This window comes from Homo sapiens, chromosome 11, assembly GCF_000001405.40.
Source record: "Homo sapiens chromosome 11, GRCh38.p14 Primary Assembly".
Lineage (NCBI taxonomy): Eukaryota > Metazoa > Chordata > Mammalia > Primates > Hominidae > Homo > Homo sapiens.
In genome coordinates this window covers 31,523,599-31,550,154 of record NC_000011.10, presented here as the reverse complement: position 1 = coordinate 31,550,154, position 26,556 = coordinate 31,523,599, and the positions used below count along the sequence as shown (strand labels likewise).

Genomic DNA, 26,556 nt, shown 5'->3' with positions numbered 1-26,556 from the left:
TTATTTTTTATTTTTTTTTTATTATTATACTTTAAGTTTTAGGGTACATGTGCACAATGTGCAGGTTACATATGTATACATGTGACATGCTGGTGCGCTGCACCCACTAACTCGTCATCTAGCATTAGGTATATCTCCCAATGCTATCCCTCCCCCCTACCCCACCTCACAACAGTCCCCAGAGTGTGATGTTCCCCTTCCTGTGTCCATGTGTTCTCATTGTTCAATTCCCACCTATGAGTGATAAAGTGTGGTGTTTGGTTTTTGTTCTTGCGATAGATTACTGAGAATGATGATTTCCAATTTCATCCATGTCCCTACAAAGGACATGAACTCATCATTTTTTGTGGCTGCATAGTATTCCATGGTGTATATGTGCCACATTTTCTTAATCCAGTCTATAATTGTTGGACATTTGGGTAGGTACCAAGTCTTTGCTATTGTGAATAGTGCCGCAATAAACATACGTGTACATGTGTCTTTATAGCAGCATGATTTATAGTCCTTTGGGTATATACCCAGTAATGGGATGGCTGGGTCAAATGGTATTTCTAGTTCTAGATCCCTGAGGAATCACCACACTGACTTCCACAATGGTTGAACTAGTTTACAGTCCCACCAACAGTGTAAAAGTGTTCCTATTTCTCCACATCCTCTCCAGCACCTGTTGTTTCCTGACTTTTTAATGATTGCCATTCTAACTGGTGTGAGATGATATCTCATTGTGGTTTTGATATGCATTTCTCTGATGGCCAGTGATGGTGAGCATTTTTTCATGGGTTTTTTGGGTGCATAAATGTCTTCTTTTGAGAAGTGTCTGTTCATGTCCTTCGCCCACTTATTGATGGGGTTATTTGTTTTTTTCTTGTAAATTTGTTTGAGTTCATTGTAGATTCTGGATATTAGCCCTTTGTCAGATGAGTAGGTTGCGAAAATTTTCTCCCATTTTGTGGGTTGCCTGTTCACTCTGATGGTAGTTTCTTTTGCTGTGCAGAAGCTCTTTAGTTTAATTAGATCCCATTTGTCAATTTTGGCTTTTGTTGCCATTGCTTTTGGTGTTTTAGACATGAAGTCCTTGCCCATGCCTATGTCCTGAATGGTATTGCCTACGTTTTCTTCTAGGGTTTTTATGGTTTTAGGTCTAACGTTTAAGTCTTTAATCCATCTTGAATTGATTTTTGTATAAGGTGTAAGGAAGGGGTCCAGTTTCAGCTTTCTACATATGGCTAGCCAGTTTTCCCAGCACCATTTATTAAATAGGAAATCCTTTCCCCATTGCTTGCTTTTCTCAGGTTTGTCAAAGATCAGATATTTGTAGATATGCAGCATTTTTTCTGAGGGCTCTGTTCTGTTCCATTGATCTATATCTCTGTTTTGGTACCAGTACCATGCTGTTTTGGTTACTGTAGCCTTGTAGTATAGTTTGAAGTCAGGTAGCATGATGCCTCCAGCTTTGTTCTTTTGGCTTAGGATTGACTTGGCCATGCGGGCTCTTTTTTGGTTCCATATGAACTTTAAAGTAGTTTTTTCCAATTCTGTGAAGAAAGTCATTGGTAGCTTGATAGGGATGGCACTGAATCTATAAATTACCTTGGGCAGTATGGCCATTTTCACGATATTGATTCTTCCTACCCATGAGCATGGAATATTCTTCCATTTGTTTGTATCCTCTTTTATTTCATTGAGCAGTGGTTTGTAGTTCTCCTTGAAGAGGTCCTTCACATCCCTTGTAAGTTGGATTCCTAGGTATTTTATTCTCTTTGAAGCAATTGTGAATGGGAGTTCACTCATGATTTGGCTCTCTGTTTGTCTGTTATTGGTGTATAAGAATGCTTGTGATTTTTGTACATTGATTTTGTATCCTGAGACTTTGCTGAAGTTGCTTATCCGCTAAGGAGATTTTGGGCTGAGACAATGGGATTTTCTAGATATACAATCACGTCATCTGTAAACAGGGACAATTTGACTTCCTCTTTTCCTAATTGAATACCCTTATTTCCTTCTCCTGCCTAATTGCCCTGGCCAGAACTTCCAACACTATGTTGAATAGGAGTGGTGAGAGAGGGCATCCCTGTCTTGTGCCCGTTTTCAAAGGGAATGCTTCCAGTTTTTGCCCATTCAGTATGATATTGGCTGTGTGTTTGTCATAGATAGCTCTTATTATTTTGAGATATGTCCCATCAATACCTAATTTATTGAGAGTTTTTAGCATGAAGGGTTGTTGAATTTTGTCAAAGGCCTTTTCTGCATCTATTGAGATAATCATGTGGTTTTTGTCTTTGGTTCTGTTTATATGCTGGATTACATTTATTGATTTGTATATATTGAACCAGCCTTGCATCCCAGGGATGAAGTCCACTTGATCGTGGTGGATAAGCTTTTTGATGTGCTGCTGGATTCGGTTTGCCAGTATTTTATTGAGGATTTTTGCATGAATGTTCAACAAGGATATTGGTCTAAAATTCTCTTTTTTGGTTGTGTCTCTGCCCGGCTTTGGTATCAGGATGATGCTGGCCTCATAAAATGAGTTAGGGAACATTCCCTCTTTTTCTATTGATTGGAACAGTTTCAGAAGGAATGGTACCAGTTCCTCCTTGTACCTCTGGTAGAATTCGGCTGTGAATCCATCTGGTCCTGCACTCTTTTTGGTTGGTAAGCTATTGATTATTGCCACAATTTCAGCTCCTGTTGTTGGTCTATTCAGAGATTCAACTTCCTCCTGGTTTAGTCTTGGGAGAGTGTATGTGTCAAGGAATTTACCCATTTCTTCTAGATTTTCTAGTTTATTTGCGTAGAGGTGTTTGTAGTATTCTCTGATGGTAGTTTGTATTTCTGTGGGATCGGTGGTGATATCCCCTTTATCATTTTTTATTGCGTCTATTTGATTCTTCTCTCTTTTTTTCTTTATTAGTCTTGCTAGCAGTCTATCAATTTTGTTGATCCTTTCAAAAAACAAGCTCCTGGATTCACTAATTTTTTGAAGGGCTTTTTGTATCTCTATTTCCTCCAGTTCTGCTCTGATTTTAGTTATTTCTTGCCTTCTGCTAGCTTTTCAATGTGTTTGCTCTTGGTTCTCTAGTTCTTTTAATTGTGATGTTAGGGTGTCAATTTTGGATCTTTCCTGCTTTCTCTTGTGGGCATTTAGTGCTATAAATTTCCCTCTACACACTGCTTTGAATGTGTCCCAGAGATTCTGGTACGTTGTGTCTTTGTTCTCGTTGGTTTCAAAGAACATCTTTATTTCTGCCTTCATTTTGTTATGTACCCAGTAGTCATTCAGGAGCAGGTTGTTCAGTTTCCATACAGTTGAGCGGTTTTGAGTGAGTTTCTTAATCCTGAGTTCTAGTTTGATTGCACTGTGGTCTGAGAGACAGTTTGTTATAATTTCTGTTCTTTTACATTTGCTGAGGAGAGCTTTACTTCCAACTATGTGGTCAATTTTGGAATAGGTGTGGTGTGGTGCTGAAAAAAATGTATATTCTGTTGATTTGGGGTGGAGAGTTCTGTAGATGTCTATTAGGTCTGCTTGGTGCAGAGCTGAATTCAATTCCTGGGTATCTTTGTTGACTTTCTGTCTCGTTGATCTGTCTAATGTTGACAGTGGGGTGTTAAAATCTCCCACTATTAATGTGTGGGAGTCTAAGTCTCTTTGTAGGTCACTAAGGACTTGCTTTATGAATCTGGGTGCTCCTGTATTGGGTGCATATATATTTAGGATAGTTAGCTCTTCTTGTTGAATTGATCCCTTTACCATTATATAATGGCCTTCTTTGTTCCTTTTGATCTTTGTTGGTTTAAAGTCTGTTTTATCAGAGACTCGGATTGCAACCCCTGCCTTTTTTTGTTTTCCATTTGCTTGGTAGATCTTCCTCCATCCTTTTATTTTGAGCCTATGTGTGTCTCTGCATGTGAGATGGGTTTCCTGAATACAGCACACTGATGGGTCTTGACTCTTTATCCAATTTGCCAGTCTGTGTCTTTTAATTGGAGCATTTAGTCCATTTACATTTAAAGTTAATATTGTTATGTGTGAATTTGAACCTGTCATTATAATGTTAGCTGGTTATTTTGCTCGTTAGTTGATGCAGTTTCTTCCTAGTCTCGATGGTCTTTACATTTTGGCATGATTTTGCAGCAGCTGGTACCGGTTGTTCCTTTCCATGTTTAGTGCTTCCTTCAGCAGCTCTTTTAGGGCAGGCCTGGTGGTGACAAAATCCCTCAGCATTTGCTTGTCTGTAAAGGATTTTATTTCTCCTTCACTTATGAAGCTTCATTTGGCTGGATATGAAATTCTGGGTTGAATATTCTTTTCTTTAAGAATGTTCAATATTGGCCCCCACTCTCTTCTGGCTTGTAGAGTTTCTGCAGAGAGATCCGCTGTTACTCTGATGGGCTTCCCTTTGTGGGTAACCCGACCTTTCTCTCTGGCTGCCCTTAACATTTTTTCCTTCATTTCAACTTTGATGAATCTGACAATTACGTGTCTTGCAGTTGCTCCTCTCGAGGAGTATCTTTGTGGCATTCTCTGTATTTCCTGAATCTGAATGTTGGCCTGCCTTGCTATACTGGGGAAGTTCTCCAGGATAATATCCTGCAGAGTGTTTTCCAACTTGGTTCCATTCTCCCCATCACTTTCAGGTACACCAATCAGACGTAGATTTGGTCTTTTCACATAGTCCCATATTTCTTGGAGGCTTTGTTTGTTTCTTTTTATTCTTTTTTCTCTAAACTTCCCTTCTCGCTTCATTTTATTCATTTCATCTTCCATCGCTGATACCCTTTCTTCCAGTTGATCGCATCGGCTACTGAGGCTTCTGCATTCTTCACATAGTTCTCGAGCCTTGGCTTTCAGCTCCATCAGCTCCTTTAAGCAGTTCTCTGTATTGGTTATTCTAGTTATACATTCGTCTCAATTTTTTTCAAAGTTTTTAACTTCTTTGCCTTTGGTTTGAATTTCCTCCTGTAGCTCGTAGTTTGATCGTCTGAAGCCTTCTTCTCTCAACTCGTCAAAGTCATTCTCTGTCCAACTTTGTTCCATTGCTGGTGAGGAACTGCAATCCTTTTGAGGAGGAGAGGTGCTCTGCTTTTTCTCCTCTGTTTTTTTCCCATCTTTGTGGTTTCATCTACTTTTGGTCTTTGATGATTGTGATGTAAAGATGGGTTTTTGGTGTGGATGTCCTTTCTGTTTGTTAGTTTTCCTTCTAACAGACAGGACCCTCAGCTGCATGTCTGTTGGAGTTTGCTAGAGGTCCACTCCAGACCCTGTTTGCCTGGGTATTAGCAGCAGTGGCTGCAGAACAGTGGTTTTTCGTGAACCGCGAATGCTGCTGTCTGATCGTTCCTCTGGAAGTTTTGTCTCAGAGGAGTACCCGGCCGTGTGAGGTGTCAGTCTGCCCCTACTGGGGGGTGCCTCCCAGTTAGGCTGCTCAGGGGTCAGGGGTCAGAGACCCACTTGAGGAGGCAGTCTGCCCATCCTCAGATCTCCAGCTGCGCGCTGGGAGAACCTCTGCTCTCTTCAAAGCTGTCAGACAGGGACATTTAAGTCTGCAGAGGTTACTGCTGTCTTTTTGTTTGTCTGTGCCCTGCCCCGAGAGGTGGAGCCTACAGAGGCAGGCAGGCCTCCTTGAGCTGTGGTGGTCTCCACCCAGTTGGAGCTTTCCGGCTGCTTTGTTTACCTAAGCAAACCTGGGCAATGGCGGGCACCCCTCCCCCAGCCTCACTGCCGCCTTGCAGTTTGATCTCAGACTGCTGTGCTAGCAATCAGGGAGACTCCATGGGCGTAGGACCCTCCGAGCCAGGTGCAGGATATAAACTCCTGATGCGCCGTTTTTTAAACCCATCTGAAAAGTGCAGTATTCAGGTGGGAGTGACCCGATTTTCCAGGTGCCGTCTGTCACCCCTTTCTTTGACTAGGAAAGGGAACTCCCTGACCCTTTGCGCTTCCCGAGTGAGGCAATGCCTCGCCCTGCTTCGGCTTGCGCATGGTGCACTGCACCCACTGACCTGCGCCCACTGTCTGGCACTCCCTAGTGAGATGAACCTGGTACCTCAGATGGAAATGCAGAAATCACCCGTCTTCTGCGTCGCTCACGCTGGGAGCTGTAGACCGGAGCTGTTCCTATTCGGCCATCTTGGCTCCTCCCCGATCTTTTTCCACATTTGGCATTATTTTGATTTTTTTGTGAAAAACTTTAGTATTTCTTACAATGCAAGTCTGGTGGTTGTGAATTCTTTTTGATTTTAGCATTTGAGAAAGTCTTTATTTTGTTTTCATAAAAAACCACCTTTTTAAATTGTAAAATCTTTGTTTATGAAAGATATTTGCTGAGTATAGAATTCTGAATTGATAACGTGTTTTTCTTTTAGCATTTTAAAGACTTCCTCCTTGTTTTCTGGTTTGTATTGCCTAAAAGTTGGCTGTCATTCTTATCTTTGGTCCTATCTATGTAATGTGCTTTTATCTCTGGTCACTTTCAAGATTTTGTCTTTATCACTTGCTTCAAGAAATTTGATTATGATGTGCATTGATGTTGTTTTCTTCAGGACTTTTAAAACTTGGAGTTTGCCCAGCACGTTGGGAGGCCGAGGTGGGCAGATCATGAGGTCAGGAGATCAAGACCATCCTGGCTAACACGGTGAAACCCCGTCTCTACTAAAAATACAAAAAATTAGCCGGACATGGTGGTGGGTGCCTGTAGTCCCCGCTACTTGGGAGGCTGAGGCAGGAGAATGGCATGAACCCGGGAGGCGGAGCTTGCAGTGGGCCAAGATCACACCACTACACTCCAGCCTGGGTGACACAGTGAGACTCCGTCCCAAAAACAAAAAACAAAAAACAAACAACAACAACAACAAAACTTGGAGTTTGCCAAACACCTCAGAATCGTGGCATATTTTTCATTATTTCTGTAATACTTTCATTCCTTATTTCTTCAAATATTTGTTGTGTACTACTCCTTCTCCCTTCACAGAGTCCAATCACATGTTAGGGACCCTTAAGTTATCTTACAGCTCACTAATGCAAAAATCTTTTTTTTCCCCAGTCTATTTTCCAGGTTTCATCTTGTATAATTTTAAATGCCATGTCTTCAAATTTACTAATCTTTTCTTTTTCAGTGTCTAATCCACTTTGCACCTCAAGTGTATTTTTCATTGCAGTCACTGTATTTTCATCTCTAAAAGTTTAACTTGTGTTTATATTTACATCTTCCATGTTTCCATTTAACATGTTTAATCTTCCTTCTAGCTTACTGAATATTTATAATATACTTGTAATAAAACTTATGTTTTCATCTAATTCTATCATGTCATTTCTTTTTTGTTTTAATTGATTTTTCTCCTTATTATAAATTGTACTTTCTTATTTCTTTGCATGTCTATTATGTTTTAACTGGAAACCAGACACAGAATATTTTATTCTGTTGGGTGCTGGACACTTGAATATTACTATACTTTGAGCTTTGGACTGGGACACAGTTAAGGTACTTGAAAACAGTTGGTTACTTCAGGCCTTGTTTTTAAGCCTCATTAGACAGGACCACAGCAGTGTTTTATAATGTGGGAATAATTTTGCTCTTTACCAATGCAAAACTCTTCTAAATACTCCACCTGATGCCTCATGAATTATGAAGTTTTTCACTCTGGCATGTGGGAGCAGGAATTACTGTTGGCCCTGGGGATTGTTACTTCTAATATTGTCAGGTAGTTCTTTCTCTAGCCTCAGGCCATCTCCTCGTGTACAAGTACAGGTGAGCACTCATCTGAAGACTAGAGGGAGACCGACCCTATGCAGATCTCTAACTCACTCGATGCATACCTCTTCCCTTTCAGGTACTCTGATTTATAAATAGAATTTCCTTGACCTCCTTGTGATCCTAGCTGTGTCTCCTGAAGGTCACCTTATCTTGTATTTCTCTTCTTTGCACTGTGGCTTGGAAACACTGTACTCAGTAAGGTAGGGAAATGACAGGGTTTGCCTTCTTTGTTTTGTATATCTCAGGTATCACTTTTATTATCTGATGCCAAGTGTTTCGAAAACTGTTGTTTCCTATACCCTGTGCTGCTTTTTATGTTTGTTTTTTGTTTTTTAGCTATTTCAGGCATGAGGAGAAATCTGGACCTTGTTAATCTATCTTGGTCAGACATGTGCAGCTTGGTCAGACACGGTGTATTTTTTAAGAGTCTGTTTTGCTTTTAACTGTAGTTTTATATTTTATATTTTACTCTCCTACATCATAAAATTATTGTATGACTAAGTCTTTGCAACACCCAATTACTTGCATAAATGACTGGCTATTTTATAAAAGCTTGATGAAAAAGGTAATATTTCTTTTATAGCTTCAAACTCCTTCACATAATCTAAAGAAGGATATGTAAAGTACACTAAGATTTTTAATACTTACTTGTACAAATTCAAGGCACCCCTAAGAAAGATGTCAGGGATTAGTTTTGAAATTAATGTGTTCTCTAAAGCAAACTGTGCAAATTTTTAACATCAGCTACCTGGGTTGAAAGAGGAAAAAATAAAAATAAAAAACTTTATTTTCAAAAGCATATACAGGCATTTCTGCTTCTGGCTGGCAAAATTTTCCTATGATGGCTATATAGATGTTTGATATAAAATCTTAGTCTCGGTATATTGTGGAATATGTCATGAAGAACCTGTGTAGCTTACTTACAACAATGGTTTTGGCCTTTACTCCACTGCTCCTAGCAAGTGTAGCACTGTCCAGAAGTTGGCCAAGATGATAAAAGCCAGAAAACAGAGCAAAAGAAAACACCAAGAAATATTGTAAAAAGTAAACAACTACAAAAGAGATTGAGAAAAAAATAAGCCCTACAACCAGAGGAAAATCAATCAAATACAGGTTTCTGCTTTGGATTTCATAACAATATTATTTAACAAGCAAAGTCTGAATCATATGAACGAATTATTTTAGTTTTGACCTCAGCATTATAGTGACTTTTATACTAAGGCAAAGAAGTTTGTTGGCATTTGTTCACAGGTATTATGAATTAGTATTTATTATGTTACAAATTCCTTATAAATGACTAATTTGCCATTTTGCAAACTATGTACTAAAATTAAAATATCCTATGGAAAAATGACTTTAGATTATGAACTCTATTCAAATAATGTCTTAAATTAGGATTCTGTTATGGACAAAGAAACTAAGAATTCTAAAAGTTAAAAGTGTCCTCTCTGAGGGAAAAAGTGTGCTTTGGCTTAAAGATTCAGTACATCAATGACATATTTTATCATAGAAGAGAATCATTTGTGGCATTCTCCAAGAAAACTAATATTAATCAATGAGTACTTCTAATTTCTGATTCTTCTGATTTATACCTCTGGCATACTGGTAATATAATTACCAAACAATCTACAGTTGTTTTCTTTATCTAATGTTTTCCAGAATTCTCTTATTATCATGACTGTGTAGAATATTACCTATCAGATATAATAATTTTTATATGTATGAACATTTTAATTTCCTTAGATACATTTAGAATGAAATTATGATTAAAGCTTGCAGTAGGCTGGATGCGGTGGCTGATGCCTGTAATCCCAGAACTTTGGGAGGCCCAGGTGGGAGAATCCCTTGAGACCAGGAATTCAAGACCAGTCTGGCAACATAGTGAGACCTCATCTCTTCAAAATTAAAAGAAAAAAAATTGCCTAAAGCTTGCAGTAAAAATGGCAAATACTGTAGTGCCTTGGAATCAGTTTATTTTTGCTTGTGCTAAGTAGAAATGTAAAATATTTAAAATTCTTATCAGCCAATTTGCTGATTATATAGATGTCCCTTTTGTTTTTATTCCATTATTTGCTGTAACTCATATACTTTATCTAACAGTTTCAGGCTGAAAATTCAAATTTCAAGTTTCTTTTAAGGACTTCTTAAGAGTAACAGTTAAGTGATACTTTGTTAGTAGTATAGAAAAGCTTAGACTTTGGAAAATTTGCTTTGCCATAGTAGTCAAAATGAAGATGTTATAATTAGAAGCAAAAAATTAAAGGATGTTTTTCCCCTTTCTTCAATAAGAAGTGTAAACTAGAATTTTTTGCTATTAAGCATGACTTTTGTGAATGCCTGGTCTAGTAATTTTATTTAGTGTCAGTTTTTAGTAGCTTAATATTTCCCCAACTCTCATATGAACTTTAAAAAATTTGTTCAAAAACATTAGTTTAAAATGTAATCCTATGTTCAAATAAATTTGATACTTTTTACTGAGATTTTAAAAAATGTATGGTTCCGTTAATGCATTTAAATATAGTTTGTATATATACAAACATATATCTTGTTTACATATATAAACAATATTTTTTCATGAAACATTCAAAATGCAATATTAAGTTCATATATTCTATACCTGTAAAATGTTGGCAGGATCCTCTTTAGCAGATGCAACCAACAAAGTATGCCCATTGACAATTCCTTCTGCCAGGAAATACTTGAAGAGCAAAGGTGAGTAAATATTATATTTATCCTCCTCTGTAAAAAGGAAAAGTTGCAGTTAGAAACATATAGCAAGAAAAGAATCAAATGGCTATCAAACAGCAAGCACACTCATATGTTTTTATATTTTTTTTCCTTAAAACAAGTATATGAGGTGGAACAAAAACTGCGTATTCCTGAGGCATAGATAGATAGGCTAAGAGACTTGTAAAGAGAGTCAATGAGAACTAGGCACTTTTTTTTTGAGACGGAGTCTCGTTCTGTCGCCCAGGCTGGAGGTGCAGTGGCGCAATCTCGGCTCACTGCAAGCTCTGCCTGGGTTCACGCCATTCTCCTGCCTCAGCCTCCCGAGTAGCAGGCGCCTGCCACCAGGCCCGGCTAATTTTTCTGTATTTTTAGTAGACACAGGGTTTCACTGTGTTAGCCAGGATGGTCTCGATCTCCTGACCTCGTGATCTGCCCGCCTTGGCCTCTCAAAGTGCTGGGATTACAGGCGTAAGCCACCGCGCCCGGCCAGAACTAGGTACTTTTAATAGACTTTCTGGTTCCAGACATCATTCTCCAACTACTACATCACTTTGATATCCACAAAATTACCCCCTGCACATACATACACACTTCAGGTATAGGGAACTTCACTAGTAAATTTAAATATTTGAAGGAAAAAATAATACCAATACTTAAACTCAGCAAAAAGGAAAAGGAAACAATTCCCACTTTATAGGCCCATCATTACTCTAACATCAAAATCAAAGAGTTTTACAAAACTACACATCATTATCAAATTTTAGGAGGTCATAATACCAATCCCACATGTACTCTTTTCAGAAAAGAGGAAAGGATGAAACACTTCTAAACTCATTTTATGAGGCCAGTGTTACCCCAATACCAAAATAGAACAAGATACAACAGAAACAGAAAGCTACAGACTATGCCTCGTGAAAATATATGAAAATAATTCTTTAAATATCATAAAACCAAATATGGTAATAGAATATACATTTATATTAGATATAATTAATATAATTTGGTTTTAAATACTGTAAAACCAAATCCAGTAATATTACATCTTCAACTTGACACATGGGATCTACAAAAAACCTATAGGTATCATCATACATGATAAGATGCAATGCTTTTCTTCTGAGATCGGGAAAAATGGAGGTATATTCACTTTCATCACTTCTAATCAATATCGTATGGAAGGTCTTAGCTGTGTAATGTTACTGGCTTTGGTTTTATGGCATTTAAAACAAAATTATAATAATTATATATATTATAATCATATAAGTATATAATACATAATACAATATAATTATATTGTAGTTATATAACTATTATATAGTAATGCAATATAATAGAGTAATTATAATTATATTGTCATTACTGTAATATATAGAATTGTAATTCTATAATTATATTGCATTAATATATTTTATATAGTAATATATATCATATTACTGGATTTGGCTTTAAGTATTTAAAGAATTATACTATACTAATACTATACTAATTATACTACACTAATATATTGATTGTACTTCTACATAATAGTAACAAAAATAGGAACTGAAATTTTAGAAATCCCACCTGCAATTAAATATTTTGGATAAATTTAACGAAATATGTGTATGAATTAGTTCTACAGTGAAAAGTACAAAACATTCTGAGAGTATAGAAGACCTAAATAAATGGAGAGATATATCATGTTCATGGGATAGAAGACTCAAATCTTCAAACTGATCTGTAGATTTAATGGAATCCCAATAAAAATTCCAGTAAGCTTTTTGGAGAAACTGACAAGGTAATTCTAAAATTTACAAAGAAATCCAAGGTCATAGAATACAGGTGATATGGTTTGGGTCTGTGTCCCTGCCCAAATCTCATGTCAAATTGTAGTCCCCGGTGTTGGAGGTGGGCCTGGTGGGAGGTGATTGGTTCATGGTGGTGGATTTCCCCTTTGGTGCCGTTCTCATGATAGTGAGTTATCATGAGATCTGGTTGTTTAAAAGTGTGTAGCACCTCCCCACTCTTTCTCTTCCTCCTGCTCCTGCCATGTGAGATGTGCCTGCCTCCCCTTTGCCTTTGGCCATGACTTTTAAGTTTTCTAACCTAGCCATGCTTCCTGTATGGCCTGCAGAACCATGAGCCAATTAAACCTATTTTCTTTACAAATTACCCAGTCTCAATTATTTCTTTAGAGCAGTGCGAGAAGGGACTAATACAACAGTCAAAGAAATCTGAACAAAGAACACAGTTGGAAAACTTATCATTTTATTTCAAGACTTACTATAAGCTACAGCAATCAAGGTAATGTGGAATTAGCAAAAGGACAGAAATATATATCAGTGGAAAAGAATAGAGTCCAGAAATAAATCCATACAATCGGTTTTTGACAAAGGTGGAGAAATAATTTTTTTTGTAACAAATGGTCCTGCAATAACTGAATATCCATATTTAAACAACAAAAAGCGATAAAAACTTCAATCTTGCCTCATAGTACACTCAATCAAAAAACAGCAAAAACCTCCATCTTACCTCTTGTACTAGTACTAAATATTAGCTTGAAATGGATCACAGAGTTAAACAAAAAAGCTGAAATAATTAAAACTATTAGAAGAAAATGCCTTCTTTGCAACCTTGGAGTAGGCAAATGTTTCTTAGGACATGAAAGCATGAACTGGAGAAAAAAATGAATAAATTAAACTTCATAAAAATGTTTACAATTTACCTTTGAAAAGACAGCTAATAGGAAGATTTAAAACAGGCAAACTACAGATAGAAGATATTTGCAATACATATACATAGTAGAGGACTGGTATCCAGAATATATTTTAGCAACTTTCATAATGCAGTAAGAACACAAACTGGGCAACATAAAAATGAGCAAAAGATGTGAACACATGCTTTACAAAAAAAGATACATGAATGGCCAAAAAACATATTAAAAGATGTTCAACTGACAAGTATGTGGAGCAAATAAAATGCTCCAACATTGTTAGTTGCAATGCAAAACACTATAACTACATTAGAAAACAGTTTGGCAGACCAGATGCGGTGGCTCATGTCTGTAATCCCCATGCTTTGAGAGGCCGAGGCAAGTGGATTGCTTGAGGTCAGGAGTTGGAGACTAGCCTGGCCAACATAGCGAAATCCCGCCTTTACTAAAAACACAAAAATTACCTGGGAATGCTTGCACATGCGTATAATCCCAGCTACTCAGGAGGCTGAGGCAGGAGAATTGCTTGAACCTGGGAAGTGGAGGTTGCAGTGAGCCGAGATTACGCCACTGCACTCCAGCCTGGGTGACAGAGCAAGACGCCGTCTCAAACAAATCAGAACAAAACAAAACAAAAACAGTTTGGCAGTTTCCAAAAAAGTTAAACAAACACTTATTATACGATCCAGGAATTCTACTCTTGGGTACTTACCCATGAGAGTTGAAAATATATGTCTGCATAGATTTATACAGAAGGTTTATGACAGCTTTTTTTTTTAATAGCCAAAAACTGAAAACAAATAAAATGTCCATCAACTACTTGCTGAAGGGAGAAAACAAATGATATATTCCTAAATGGATTACTACTCAGCAATAAAAAGAAATAAACTACTAATTTGCAGTAGTTTCTTGGTATCCACAGGGGACTGGGTACCAAGGACATCCAGGATTGGATATCTAGGATACTCCATGAATACCAAAATCCAAGGATGCTTAGTACCTTACATTTTGCCCTCTGTATCCAAGGATGTGGTACATGCTAATACAGAGGCCTGACTATACATGCAACAACATGGGTAAATCTCAAAAAACATTATGCTAAGTGGAAAAAAGCCAGATACAAAAAAAGCACATATGGCAAAACTGCAGTTACACGATATTCTATAGAAAGCAAAATTAATCTCTAATGACAGAAAGGAGAGGTTAGGTGCTTGGGGCCAGGAAACTGAGCACCAGGAAACACTTTATGGTGACAGAAGTGTTTTATATCTTGATTGTGGTGGTGGCTGCATGAGTATATACAGTCGTAAAAAGTCACTAAAATAAGTAAATGTGCTTGGCACAGTCACTCGCTTCTGTAATCCTCATGCTTTGGGAGGCCAAGATGGCAGGGTCACTTTGAGGCGAGGAGTTTGAGACAAGCCTGAGCAATACAGTGATACCTCAGCTCTACAAAAAATAATAAAAAATTAGCTGGGTGTGGTGGTGTGCACTGGTAGTCCTAGCTACTTGGGAGGCTGAGGTGGGAGGATCCCTTGGCCCCAAGAGCTCCAGGATGCAGTGAGCCATGATTGTACCACTGCGCTCCAGCCTGGGGAACAGAACGAGAACCTGGCTCAAAAATAATTCAATAAAATAAATAAACAAATGGGTGCATTTTATTGTATATAAATTAAAATTCAATAACATTTATTTATTAAAACAATTCCCTAAAGTATGACCAAAATATCAGGTGGTGAGTTGTTTAGATACCTTCTTAGCACATTATCTTAGAGAAAATCCATGATTAAAAGTATGGTCAATTTACACAAAGTCTAATTTTATATATTAAAACACATAGCTAGTTCTTTAACATTATTTGTCACTCACAAAATGTACTTAATGATTTAGGGACATTTTATGAGAATTTTAGTGTGTTACGGCAAAGGAAAATGTTTTCAATGCTTCTGCATTGCTTACAGCTGACAGATGGAAAAGCTAGCAGAGACAACTATGGGAGAGATGATCAGCACTGACTACTGATTAATACAGCTGTAACACTGGAAAAATTGCTTACTTTGTATAACTAAGAATTCACCTTCACTCAACTTTGGAACTAACTAGAAAGTCATGTTTAAAAAATAATTGATTTTACCTGAAGTAATTACTATTAAGTCAGTTTAGAGAAGCAAACATTTAAACCATGGTCATTATAAATCGATATAAGAAACAAACCTGACATTAAAATTTTTAATTTCTAAGATTGATATTTTTACAAAATGGAAAATTTAAATTTTAAAAAATTCACCCACAGTCCTCAAATAATCCTTGCTTAAAGTTTGCTCTATTTCCTTTCAGTACTTTTTCTATGTTTTCAGTGATTACTGGATTTGGTATCCTACTTTTTTCACTTAATCTAACATGCTTTATAGTCTTGTAGCTAACATGTTTAAGGCTGAATAATATTCTAGAAAACTTATGAACCATACATACATTACATAGCTATACCCCCTTACCATGGACTTTTCATGCAGCTTTTAGGGTTTTATTGGTACTAAATATAGAAGAATAAGGATGCTTCAGGTCCAACATGCCCAAGATGAAACCCAGTAACTCATTTTCTTGCACCAAATGTGGCCCTCTTTCAGTTTTCAGAAAGCCAGAATTTATCCCCAATATCTCCTCTTTCTCTCTCTCTCGCTCTCATACACACACACACACACACACACACACCAATCCACCTCTCTCCCCATCCTTATAATCCAGTGAAACGTATTAGCAAAGTATCAAAGTATTTGTGGGATTTGATTACTTCCTCCATGCTAATGTCATTCCACGAGTCATACTACTAACAACTCTTAACTGGCCGGGTACCGTGGCTCACGCCTGTAATCTCAGCACTTTGGGAGGCCGAGGCGGGCGGATCACGAGGTCAGGAGATCGAGACCATCCTGGCTAACATGGTGAAACCCGTCTCTAGTAAAAAATACAAAAACATTAGCTGGGCGTGGTGGCGGGAGCCTGTAGTCCCAGCTACTCGGGAGGCTGTGCCAGGAGAATGGCGTGAACCCGGGAGGAGGAGCTTGCAGTGAGCCGAGATCGCTCCACTGCACTCCAGCCTGGGCGACAGAGTGAGACTCCGTCTCAAACAAAACAAAACAAAACAAAACAAAAACAAAAAAAACTCTTACCTAAATGACTGTAACTGTCTCTTATTTCTTTGCATTCACCCTAATCCTCCTCCTTCAATTTAGTAGTAACATTTTCAAAATGCAAACCTGATGATCTCATTTCCCTACTTAAAACTTTTCAGGCCGGGCGCGGTGGCTCATGCCTGTAATCCCAGCACTTTGGGAGGCCAAGGCGGGCGGATCACGAGGTCAGGAGATCGAGACCATCCTGGCTAACACGGTGAAACCCCGTCTCTACTAAAAAATACAAAAAGAAAAAAAAAATTAGCCGGGCTTGATGGCCGGCGCATGTAGTCCCAGCTACTTGGCAGGCTGAGGCAGGAGAATGGCGTTAACTCGGGAGGCGGAGCTTGCAGTGAGCCGAGATAGCGCCACTGCAGTCTGGCCTGGGCGAAAGAGCGAGACTCTGTCACAAAAAAAAAAAAAAAAAAAAAAAAAAAGAATGAGATGGCTTTTGCAGCAACACGGATGAAACTGGAGGCCATTATCCTAAATGAAATAACTCAGAAACAGAAAACCAAATACCACACGTTTTTACTTATAAATGACAACAGCTACATGGACATACAGAGTGGAATAACAGACAGTGGAGACTACAAAAGGTGGAAGAGTGGTAAGGGGGTAAAGGTTTAAAAACTACCTATTGGGTACAATGCTCACCATTTGGGTGATAACATGAAGAAGCCAGACTTCACCACTGTGCAATATATGCATGTAAAAAATCTGTACTTGTGGCCGGGCACAGTGGCTCATGCCTGTAATCCCAGCACTTTGGGAGGCCAAGGCGGGTGGATCACCTGAGATCAGGAGTTTGAGACCATCCTGACCACCAACATGATGAAACCCTGTCTCTACTAAAAAAATACAAAATTAGCCAGGCGTGGTGGTGCACGCCTGTAATCTCAGCTACTTGGGAGGCTGAGGCAGGAGAATTGCTTAAATCCGGAAGGCAGAGGTTACAATGAGCCGAGATCACACCATTGCACTCCAGCCTGGGCAACGAGAGCAAAACTCCATTTCAAAAAAAAAAAAAAAAAACCAACAAAAAAAAGAAATCTGTACTTGTACACCCTGAGAACATAAAAATTAAAAAATAAAAATAAAATATACATGACTGTTGTTTAACAACTTTTTAGTAATGAGAGAAAGAAACCTAAACTATTTAATTAGAAGAATTAAAACTTTCATAAAGTTACGGATGCATATTACAATACTCAACTAAGAGAATGAACTATATCAGATCAGTACTACTTAAAGTAGGGATATGTACTCGTAGATAATTAAAAAAACTGAGTGATTTATGAGTAATGAAGGATAATAAACAAACTAGATGTCACAGTTGTCTTTTTCTACCTATCTCTTAAATGAGTGAGGGTTCTGACTTTTTTCTTGCTCCCCATACTATCCTTAGTGATCTTTTCTTTATCTCTAGCTCAGCTTTCTCCGTGCTAAGCTCCAGGCATTGACATCATGCTATTTATTTGCATATTGTTAACTAGACATAGTACTTAGCAAACATGTTTTATGTTATCTTATCTTTACTTCAATGTGCCAACAGAATTTCATGACATGTCCAAATGGGAAACTGTATTTTTTCCTCTTCCTTGCTGCCCATCTTCTGGTGGTAACATGCTAATTCGTTAAGTTATTTGGTAACCATTTCCTTTGGGCTTGAGGTTTCTTCAACTATGATATAGGAATAATAAAATTATACCTACCTCATAAGACTGTGGCAAGATTTAAATACTTAAATCAGTGCCTTGTGCGTAGTTAAGTGGTCAATAAATGTTAGCTACTATGGTTTTCATTCTCAGCTCTTCCCTTTCCTTTTTATCCCCACAAATAATCACGGCTTTAACTTCCTAAATCTTTAAAATCCATCCACTTCCTTCCATCTTTACTGACAATAATGTAGTTCAATTCATCCTTACCTCTCACTATCAGCCTCCCAATTGGTCCCTGTATCTCTAACCTTACTCCTCCCTCCAATCTATTCTCCACATTACTCAAGAGTATATTTTTCTAAAGAGCAAATCTAATCTTGTCACTCCCGTTTCAAAAACTTAAATGGCTTTTCATTGCTCTCAGTCGAAAAACACCCAAAAAGCAAGCCATATAAGCCTCTTTAAATGTTGTATTGCCTTCTTTCCCAATACATTCCCCCTTCCATATTTCATAAATTCCAGGGATAGCAAACTACTTGTTAGCACCACCCATATTGCTCCTTGCCTCAGGACCCTTGTATAAATTCCTTCACAACTCTGGCTAACTAATTTGCTCACCTCCTTCCAGACCAAGATTAGGTGGCACCATTATTAAGAAGCTTTACTCAAGGCTGGGTAAGATATCAGTGTGCTCTGGAGCACCCTCTTAACCCCTAGTAGTATTTAATAAACATTCCTGAAATTCCTCCATGAAGCTAAAAGATTATTATGGCAGAGAATGCATCCTATTATTGTATCTCTAGTGCCCGGCACATAGTATACATATACTTAATATTTGTAGAATTAATTAGAGGAAAAAACAACAAACAAAAATCGATCTTGTCTTATAAATCATCCACATCTACTATAGTTTGAAAACACACCATTTTATACACATATACACATATATTCTATAATAGTTATCACTTCTGTTTTTTCAAAGAATCATATGAGGCAGGAAAAACTAATAGGGAGATCACCTACTTAGGGATTAGCAAAAACACTAAACTCATCAAGCTGAAAATTACCAATTTTGTGAAACAAATTTTGAGGTTGTACAATAAGCATTTAATTAATCTATTTAGTGAATCCCCATAACACTGGGCAAGTAAAAATGATAATGATGTGACAGAACTGCCAAAAAGCAAATGTAATTTTGGTCTGAATTAACAGTCTAATTTCTAGGTTCAGAAAGATGCTTGTCCTGTTCTATTCCACAGTAGTCAACCAACCTGATGATAATATATTCAGTTTGGGGACTTACACAAACTAAAGCATCTTCAAAAACAGTGATGGTGAAGGGAGCTGAAAGTATGTGACAATGAGAAATGGAAATATTTAGCTTAAAGAAAGAGACCCGAGAGACATAAGATAGCTGTCTTCAAATATCTGTTGGACTATAAAACGGAAATGGAATTTCATTTGTACATTATGGCTCCAAGGGGTGGAACAAAGCCTAGTGGATAGAAACAACAGGAATATCATTTTTTTCTTAATACAAAAATCCAAATGAGCTGTATCATCACTCCACCAAGACTGCTCTCCAACACCAATTATTTTATAATTGTCTAATTTGTTGGATATTTGTAAATCCTTACCTTATTTATTTATGGGAACTATTACCATTGACAACTTTCTTCATGAAACTACTGTACACTCCCTCCCCACCTTTTCCCAGTTTTTATAACTTTTCTCCTGTTTCTTTAGCCATTCTTTGTGTACGTAAACAGTTTATATAGAGCTCTCAAGTTTTTGTTACGTACATATGAAATGATTTTATGTACTTTTTGCTAGTCACTACTTTCAGCTATGCAAGCCAAATCTTCCTTTTCTCATCTTTTAATGATATCCGGAGCTGCTTCCATGATTCTCACTAGTTTCAGTTATTAAAACTTGGAACTGTCCAGTTAAAAACTTAGTCAATAGTCAATTACAACATTTTCCACTAAGGCTTGTGACTTGAAATACTTAGTAAGGCGGTGTTAAGTGGAGGGGGCAGCAGTGAGAAAAGGAAGTTCTAAGATACCTCTTCCTACAAGTCTTTTCTTCAAGTCCTAGCTCCTATACTGGGAAAGTAAGAAAAAGAAGAGTGGCAGAGATCAGTTTCTGTAATTGCCTGTCTGGCACAGGTAGAGAGATGTCCCTAGCCTCACTCTGACCTGTTGTATTAAGTCTGCTGCTTATACCCTCTAAAATTAGGTGGTTTCCATGCAGATGTTAAGTGTGGTTTGTGGGTGGTACCTTACTTCATTCTGGCCCTATATGTCACTGAAGAACCCCTCAAAGAGGTAGAATCTAGTGTTTTTGGGGCCACTAATTCATCCTCAGTCTCTCTTTGGAAATACTATTACTGTCATTATTCTTCTAGCTGTGTTTGTTTACACAATCTATTCTAGCAGGCCCCCCTCCTTTTCCTATATGAGAAACAGGTAATAGTCTTAATGTTTGAGAATGTTGACAAAATCCAGCAGATATAAAGCAGGCTTTCCCAATAACTCTCTTCCTGCACTATTTAATTTGATGGGCTTGCAGGTTCTAGAGGTTAGCAGGGAATTGGCTGGGAAACAGGAATGTCAAGTTCTGCTTCTTGAAAGCAACTTCAATGTCTACGACTGATGCCCTTGGAGTTGTATCCCCTCACTTGCCTCACTTTTTACCATAAATGTTGTACTCCTGCTTTCTCCAGTCCTTGACTTTATTGCCTGGTAACAGCAGTGACGGTGGTGGAGATATGAGGAAGTATCTGTGCTAGTTCTTTGGGCCTGCCAGGAGGTGGCTGACCCCAATTGTGGGAAAGGGAAAACTTAAGACCTTGTCTTCTTTTTCTCACTGTGGGTATGTGAGAACTCACCAATTCTAGGGTACTCAACATGTGGTTAAAAAACAGCAAATAGCTAATATTATTGAGCACTAACTCTATACTAAACACTGCACTGCACTTCTCATGCATTGGTTTATTTAATCCTCATAATAACTTTTTTTTTTTTTTTCAGACGGAGTCTCACTCTCACGCAGGCTGGAGTGCAGTGGCATATTGACTCACTGCAAATATATATATATATATACACATAGCCAAACACAAATTTTCATGTAATTTCAGGGAGTTAAGAGATCTCCCAAAGTTCCATTCCGGATCCACAAGTATAAACCTGGGCAATCTGCCATTTGTCTATGACAACACTAAAACACACACTGAATAAAACAGTTAAATAATGTTGAAAAATCCTAAATCTTTTTCTCTAGCCTAAATTTCATGCCAGAAAATCCAACTTTCTATTAGGTTGAATGCCTTGGGTTTTTCACTAGTACCTAAAAGTCATTATGTTTAAACTGAATTATTTACCTCACCTCAATATTTGCTCATTCTTTTCCTTTTCTAACTTCACTTAATGGTACTAATTCTAAACTTTCCCAGGATAAAAATCTGGGAATCATCCTACTTTCTGTCTCTCCTTCATCACCTACACATGTATATAGCACAGAAATAGAAATTGGCTTTCTTAAGAGGTACCTATTAAATGAGGAAATATGTAGAAAAATGGTGTTTCATATCAGAGCAGTCTAAGCATAACCCGTTAAACATTTAGAATCTAATATACATACTGAAATACAGAAGTAGAAAAGTAAAATAGCAAATTTATGACAAAAGTCTTAAAAGTATAGTAACAAACATCACCTCATGTTTAGATTAGGGCAATGAGGAGTTTCCATTACTTCAAATTTTACTTTATTTCTGCAGTGTATCCATCATAATATTTCTTAATTGCTCAAAACACTCCATGACTATCTATTTCTTACCAATATAATTTAATTGCCTTTACCCAGGCTTTCAAATCACTCATTTATTCATTATGCTCCTACATGGCTCCCATGGTTATAGAGTTTACAGTCTATTAAATAAGTAATCACGATCAGGCAATTTCATGATTACCTGATGTAAAAAATGTGTAGTAAGTGCCATGATAAGGTAAATAAAGACTACTACAGAAGTATACAGAAGGAATACTGAGTGTAGGTAAAGGGAAGGAAAGCAGTAGTTAAGGAAAACTTTCTGGAAGAGATGTCTAACTGGGGACTTCAAAAACAAGAGGAAAATAAAAGGCAGCAAGAAAGAACATAAGCAAAGGTCTAGAGACAGGAGAGAATGGAATTAAAAGCTCAGAATGATAAACACAAAGTATGAGGAAGAATAGTGAGAGGATGAGAAGAGAGAAGGCTAAAGTGAATCAGCAGTGGCAGATTGTTAAAGGCCTTATAGTCAGAAGTTAAGGAGCTTAGATCTTATGTTAAGATCAACAAGGAGCACAGAAAGGTCTTAAGCCAAGATATACTATGATTAGCTTCTCATATTAGAAAGTGCATTCTGGCAACATTATGATAATGAACTGAGGCAAGGGAAATACCTGTTATGCCAGTTTCAGTGAGGTTATTGATTATGGCCTGAATTGGGGTAGTGGCAGCAAAGATGAAGAACAGACAAAATTAACACAATATTTAAAGGATAAAAGTCATTAGGATTTAATGTTTTCTGGATGTATGAGAGACAAGCGTATCACTCAGGTCTCTGGCATGTGTCACCTGTTAGATTCAATAATCCAGAGTCCATAGGAAGAGAAACAGATATAGAAGAATGGAGCAGAATTTGGAAGTAGGGAAAGCTTCAAACACATTGATTTTAGATGTCTATAAGATATTTAGGAGGAAATGTTGAATAGGGGGTTAAATATGCTCTCTGCATTTCTCTATGTATCCTATATATGTAGCGATGTCTGGAGATTACTGATTATTTTTATTCCCTGTTCATTCTAGTTATGGCAGGGACTGAGACCTTTCAGGAGAATATGTAGCACTAGAAGAGGGAATAGGATACCATCATTTGAAATAAAGCCAAAGGAATCTTTAAAAACATAAGCAGAATGAGAGGGAAAATCAGAACAGAATGTTACAAAAGAAGAAAGGAAGGGAGTACTTCAAGAAAAGAGTGATTAACAACATCAAGTGCAACAGACATTAAAAAGGAAGAGGGCTGACAAGTATCCTCTAGGTTTAGCAGTGAGAAAGTCATTAAGGTGGTTTCAGTGAAATGGTAGTATTTGAGGTAGATTGATGAATGACTGAAATATTATAAAACATGTAAGTACAGACTATACAAAAGGCTTGACTATGAAAGGGAAGAGAAAAAGCAATAGTGGAGAAAGGGATAGGGTTAAGAGGGAAGATTTTTTTCCCCTTGTTTTTAAATAAAGCTTAAAAATAGATTTGAGTATGGTTAAAGTACACATTGAAAATAACTAATATAGTGGAAGAGATTAAAGATAAGGAGAGAAGGGAAATTGATATTGCTAGGTCCTTGGAAAGTTAGAATGAGATGAAATTTAAAGTACAGATGAAAGATGATTCTCAAATAGGAGAAGGCACAGTATATCTCTGCATTTGTGAATAGAGGTAAGTTTTGAGGATTGATTTTAGGAACTTGGGTGAATTCTCCTCTGATAAAACTGTATTTTTTTTCTGTGTGACATAACTGTAAGTTATTTCAGAGGATTAGGATAAAGTAGTATACTACGTTAGATGTTTGAAGACATCTTGTTTGATGTCTTCATAGCAGTATACTATGTTAGATGTTTGAAGGTTTAAAAGGCCACTGAGATTACTGAAAATAAAAAAGAGGTGACTAGATTTATACAAAAGTTTTCTGGCCAGTGTTGAAAGCCTACTTGACGTTAGAGATCAGGATAGTCTCCAATAAATAATAAAAATAACTAAGAAGTCAATATATGGCAGCAATGAGACGATATAGAAGGTGGAACAGCCCCATAAGGGATTTTTAAGATAAGTTATCATGTTTTAGTATAAAATGAGAAATTTGATTGTGAATCTCAGCTACCATATATGTGATCTTGGGCAAGTTACTTAGCTTCTCTCAAAGCTTCAATTTCATTACCTATAAAATAAAGACACTTCCTCTCATTGTTGTGAAATTACATGATACAATACATGTCAATGGCTTAGCATGATGCCCAGCACACAGTACATCCTCAATAAATGTTAAATGTTTCAATAAAATATTTAAGGATAAGATTTTAGGATATCAGAGTTTATTTTACATGAAATAGGTGTTATAGAGGGCAAACTGGAAAGGTCTGGAAGAGAAGGAAATAGGAAACTGAGTTTAAAGAGAAAAATACGGAGTATTATAGAGATAAAAGACCAGACCATTGGAACAGCTTAATTAGATTTGGTCTTAATTTGGTTTTAGATAATGACCAAAGATAACGAGGAGGTAAAGCATGATAGATTTGGCTGGCCATAAAGTTAAACAAACAAAAATCCTAGGAGTGGATTACAGGTATACAGCCTAGTCTTTACACACTATTGTTCTGGGGACTGGTATAAGGGTCCTTAAGCCTTACAGTGTGAATTCTCCAAGTAGGTAGTTGAAGCAAGAGATCCAGGGGAAGAAGGCCAAACTTACCTTCTCACTAGTCCTAAATATGTACTCTCTCTACTTTAGAAGGACCTAGTTATTACATAGGCATACTCTGTTGATATCCTCTATTGTGTACTGATTGTTTTCCATATGAGCAATTTTTTTTCTTCATCACTCCTTTCTACCCATACTTTGATTCAATTTAAGTCTTTTTCATACTCCTTATATCGGCATGTTATATATGTACTGTTCATGGTTATTCCATATGCAACCAATATCCAGAGATTTATCTTGCCTAACAGTGCTGAACACATTGTAAGAGCTTAAATGCTTCAGGACTAAAGATCAGGTGGTTCTACTAAAGGACTGCACTGATATCAGTTGTCCTATTTCAGTCCTTTAACAAAGTTCTACTACTCTAAAGTAAGTTTAGTAGAATATCAAATATAGTAACACAAAACAGCGATTGGCAAAATTTTTCTTAAGGAATCAGAAAGCAAGTATTTTAGGCCTTGTGATTCATACAGTTTCTGTTACAACTAATCAACACTGTACTTGTGGCACAAAAGAAGCTGTAGACAATGTGCACATGAATAAGCACGGCTGTATTCTAATAAAATTTTATTTACAAAAATAGGTGACCAGCTAGCAGGCCAATTCCTGCATAGAAAAAAGCTCAGAATTTTTAATTTCTTTTTGAGACAGGGTTTCGCTCTATCACCCAGGCTGGAGTCCAGTGGCATGATCACTGCAGCTTTAACCTCCTTTGCTCAATCACTCCTCCCACCTCAGCCTCCTGAGTAGCTGGGACTACAGGTACATGCCACCACACCCAGTTAATTTTTGTATTTTTTTGTAGAAACAGGGTTTTGCCATGTTGCCCAGGCTGGTTAGCTCAGAATTTATTGCATGATGTAGAAGAATAATATAGCTTAGCAAATTCAGAAAGGTTGAAGATGACTGACAAGAAATACTATAATATTCTGTGAGGACTATTAAGAGTGCTTAGTTTTTGCTATTACAGGAAATAATATGATTTAAAATTATGAAAAGTGTGGTGAACACATTCTAAGGTGGTCCCTATGATTCCTGTCTCCTGGTATTCATGCCTTTGTGTATCTCTTCCCCTTGATTGCAGCAGAATGTGGAACTTGCTTCTAACCAAGAGATTATGGCAAAGATGATGGGATGTCATTTCTGTTATGAAAACCTATAACATTTTGCTGAGGGACATTCTCTCTTCTTGGTTTTGAAGGAATAAGACACCATCTTGTGAGATGCCCTATGGAGAGGGCAGCCTCTGGCTGCCAATCAGCAAGGAGCTGAATGTTGTAAACAACCACGAGCTTGAAAGCAGATAGTTCCCTTGTCAAGCCTTCAGATGAGAACTCAGCCCTGGCTGACACCTATATTGTAGGCTTGCTGAGGACTCCGTGGGAGTGTGCTTAGATTCCTGACCTACAGAAACTATGAGATAAATAAATCTATGTTGTTTATAAACTGTAAAATTTGTGTTAATATTGTTACACAGAAAAAAGTAATATAAAAGTACACTGATAATAGGTTTAATTATCCAAAAGTGTATCATTTATCTCCCATATCTAGAACTAAAATTACATAATTAATGTAAAAGATTATTTTAAAAAAACACATTGATAAATGTCACCTATTATTTTAATAGGTGACAACTTCTATTAAACCTTTTTGATGCTCAGTATCTTTACAAATAAAGATCCTTTATTTAAAGAGACTGTGTAAACTCTAAATATTTATGCTATCAATTAACTTTTGAAACTTTTAAGGTGTTCCAAATTTACCAATGTAACAGACTGTCAGAAAGTAATATAGATAAAACATCTCAAAGCCTATTCCAGTACTTAAGCATTAAACATTTTAAGAAAAATCTATCTTTGATTTTAAAATCAAATTTTACCTTTGATTTTAAAATCAATTTTTGATTTTATTAATTGACAACCATCTTAAATTTTTAAAGTACACAGTGGGGTCCCTTAGTTCTTCAATTTATTCCTCAGAGAATTTCCTTTCATCTGTTCACATGTATTTATTTTGCTATATT

At 37.1% G+C, this 26,556-nt stretch overlaps 1 protein-coding gene across 3 annotated transcripts in view, besides 2 other annotated features; it reads right to left on the bottom strand.

Annotated features, from left to right (window-relative positions):
• ELP4 (elongator acetyltransferase complex subunit 4) overlaps positions 1-26,556 on the bottom strand; it is a 280,558-nt gene that overhangs the window by 240,170 nt on the left and 13,832 nt on the right. For all 3 annotated transcript variants that reach the window (NM_001288725.2, NM_001288726.2, NM_019040.5), the window contains exon 3: positions 10,372-10,493. In NM_001288725.2, the coding sequence (NP_001275654.1) occupies positions 10,372-10,493 (122 nt within the window). The remainder of the gene's footprint in view (positions 1-10,371; positions 10,494-26,556) is intronic.
• Positions 5,064-5,672: an enhancer, noted in NCBI's record as "H3K27ac-H3K4me1 hESC enhancer chr11:31566030-31566638 (GRCh37/hg19 assembly coordinates)". NCBI's record gives its function as "activates a minimal SCP1, AML or CMV promoter by ChIP-STARR-seq in naive and primed H9 embryonic stem cells {active_cell/tissue: H9 hESC(naive and primed)}" and the evidence as "EXISTENCE:reporter gene assay evidence [ECO:0000049][PMID:30033119]".
• Positions 5,673-6,282: an enhancer, noted in NCBI's record as "H3K27ac-H3K4me1 hESC enhancer chr11:31565420-31566029 (GRCh37/hg19 assembly coordinates)". NCBI's record gives its function as "activates a minimal SCP1, AML or CMV promoter by ChIP-STARR-seq in naive H9 embryonic stem cells {active_cell/tissue: H9 hESC(naive)}" and the evidence as "EXISTENCE:reporter gene assay evidence [ECO:0000049][PMID:30033119]".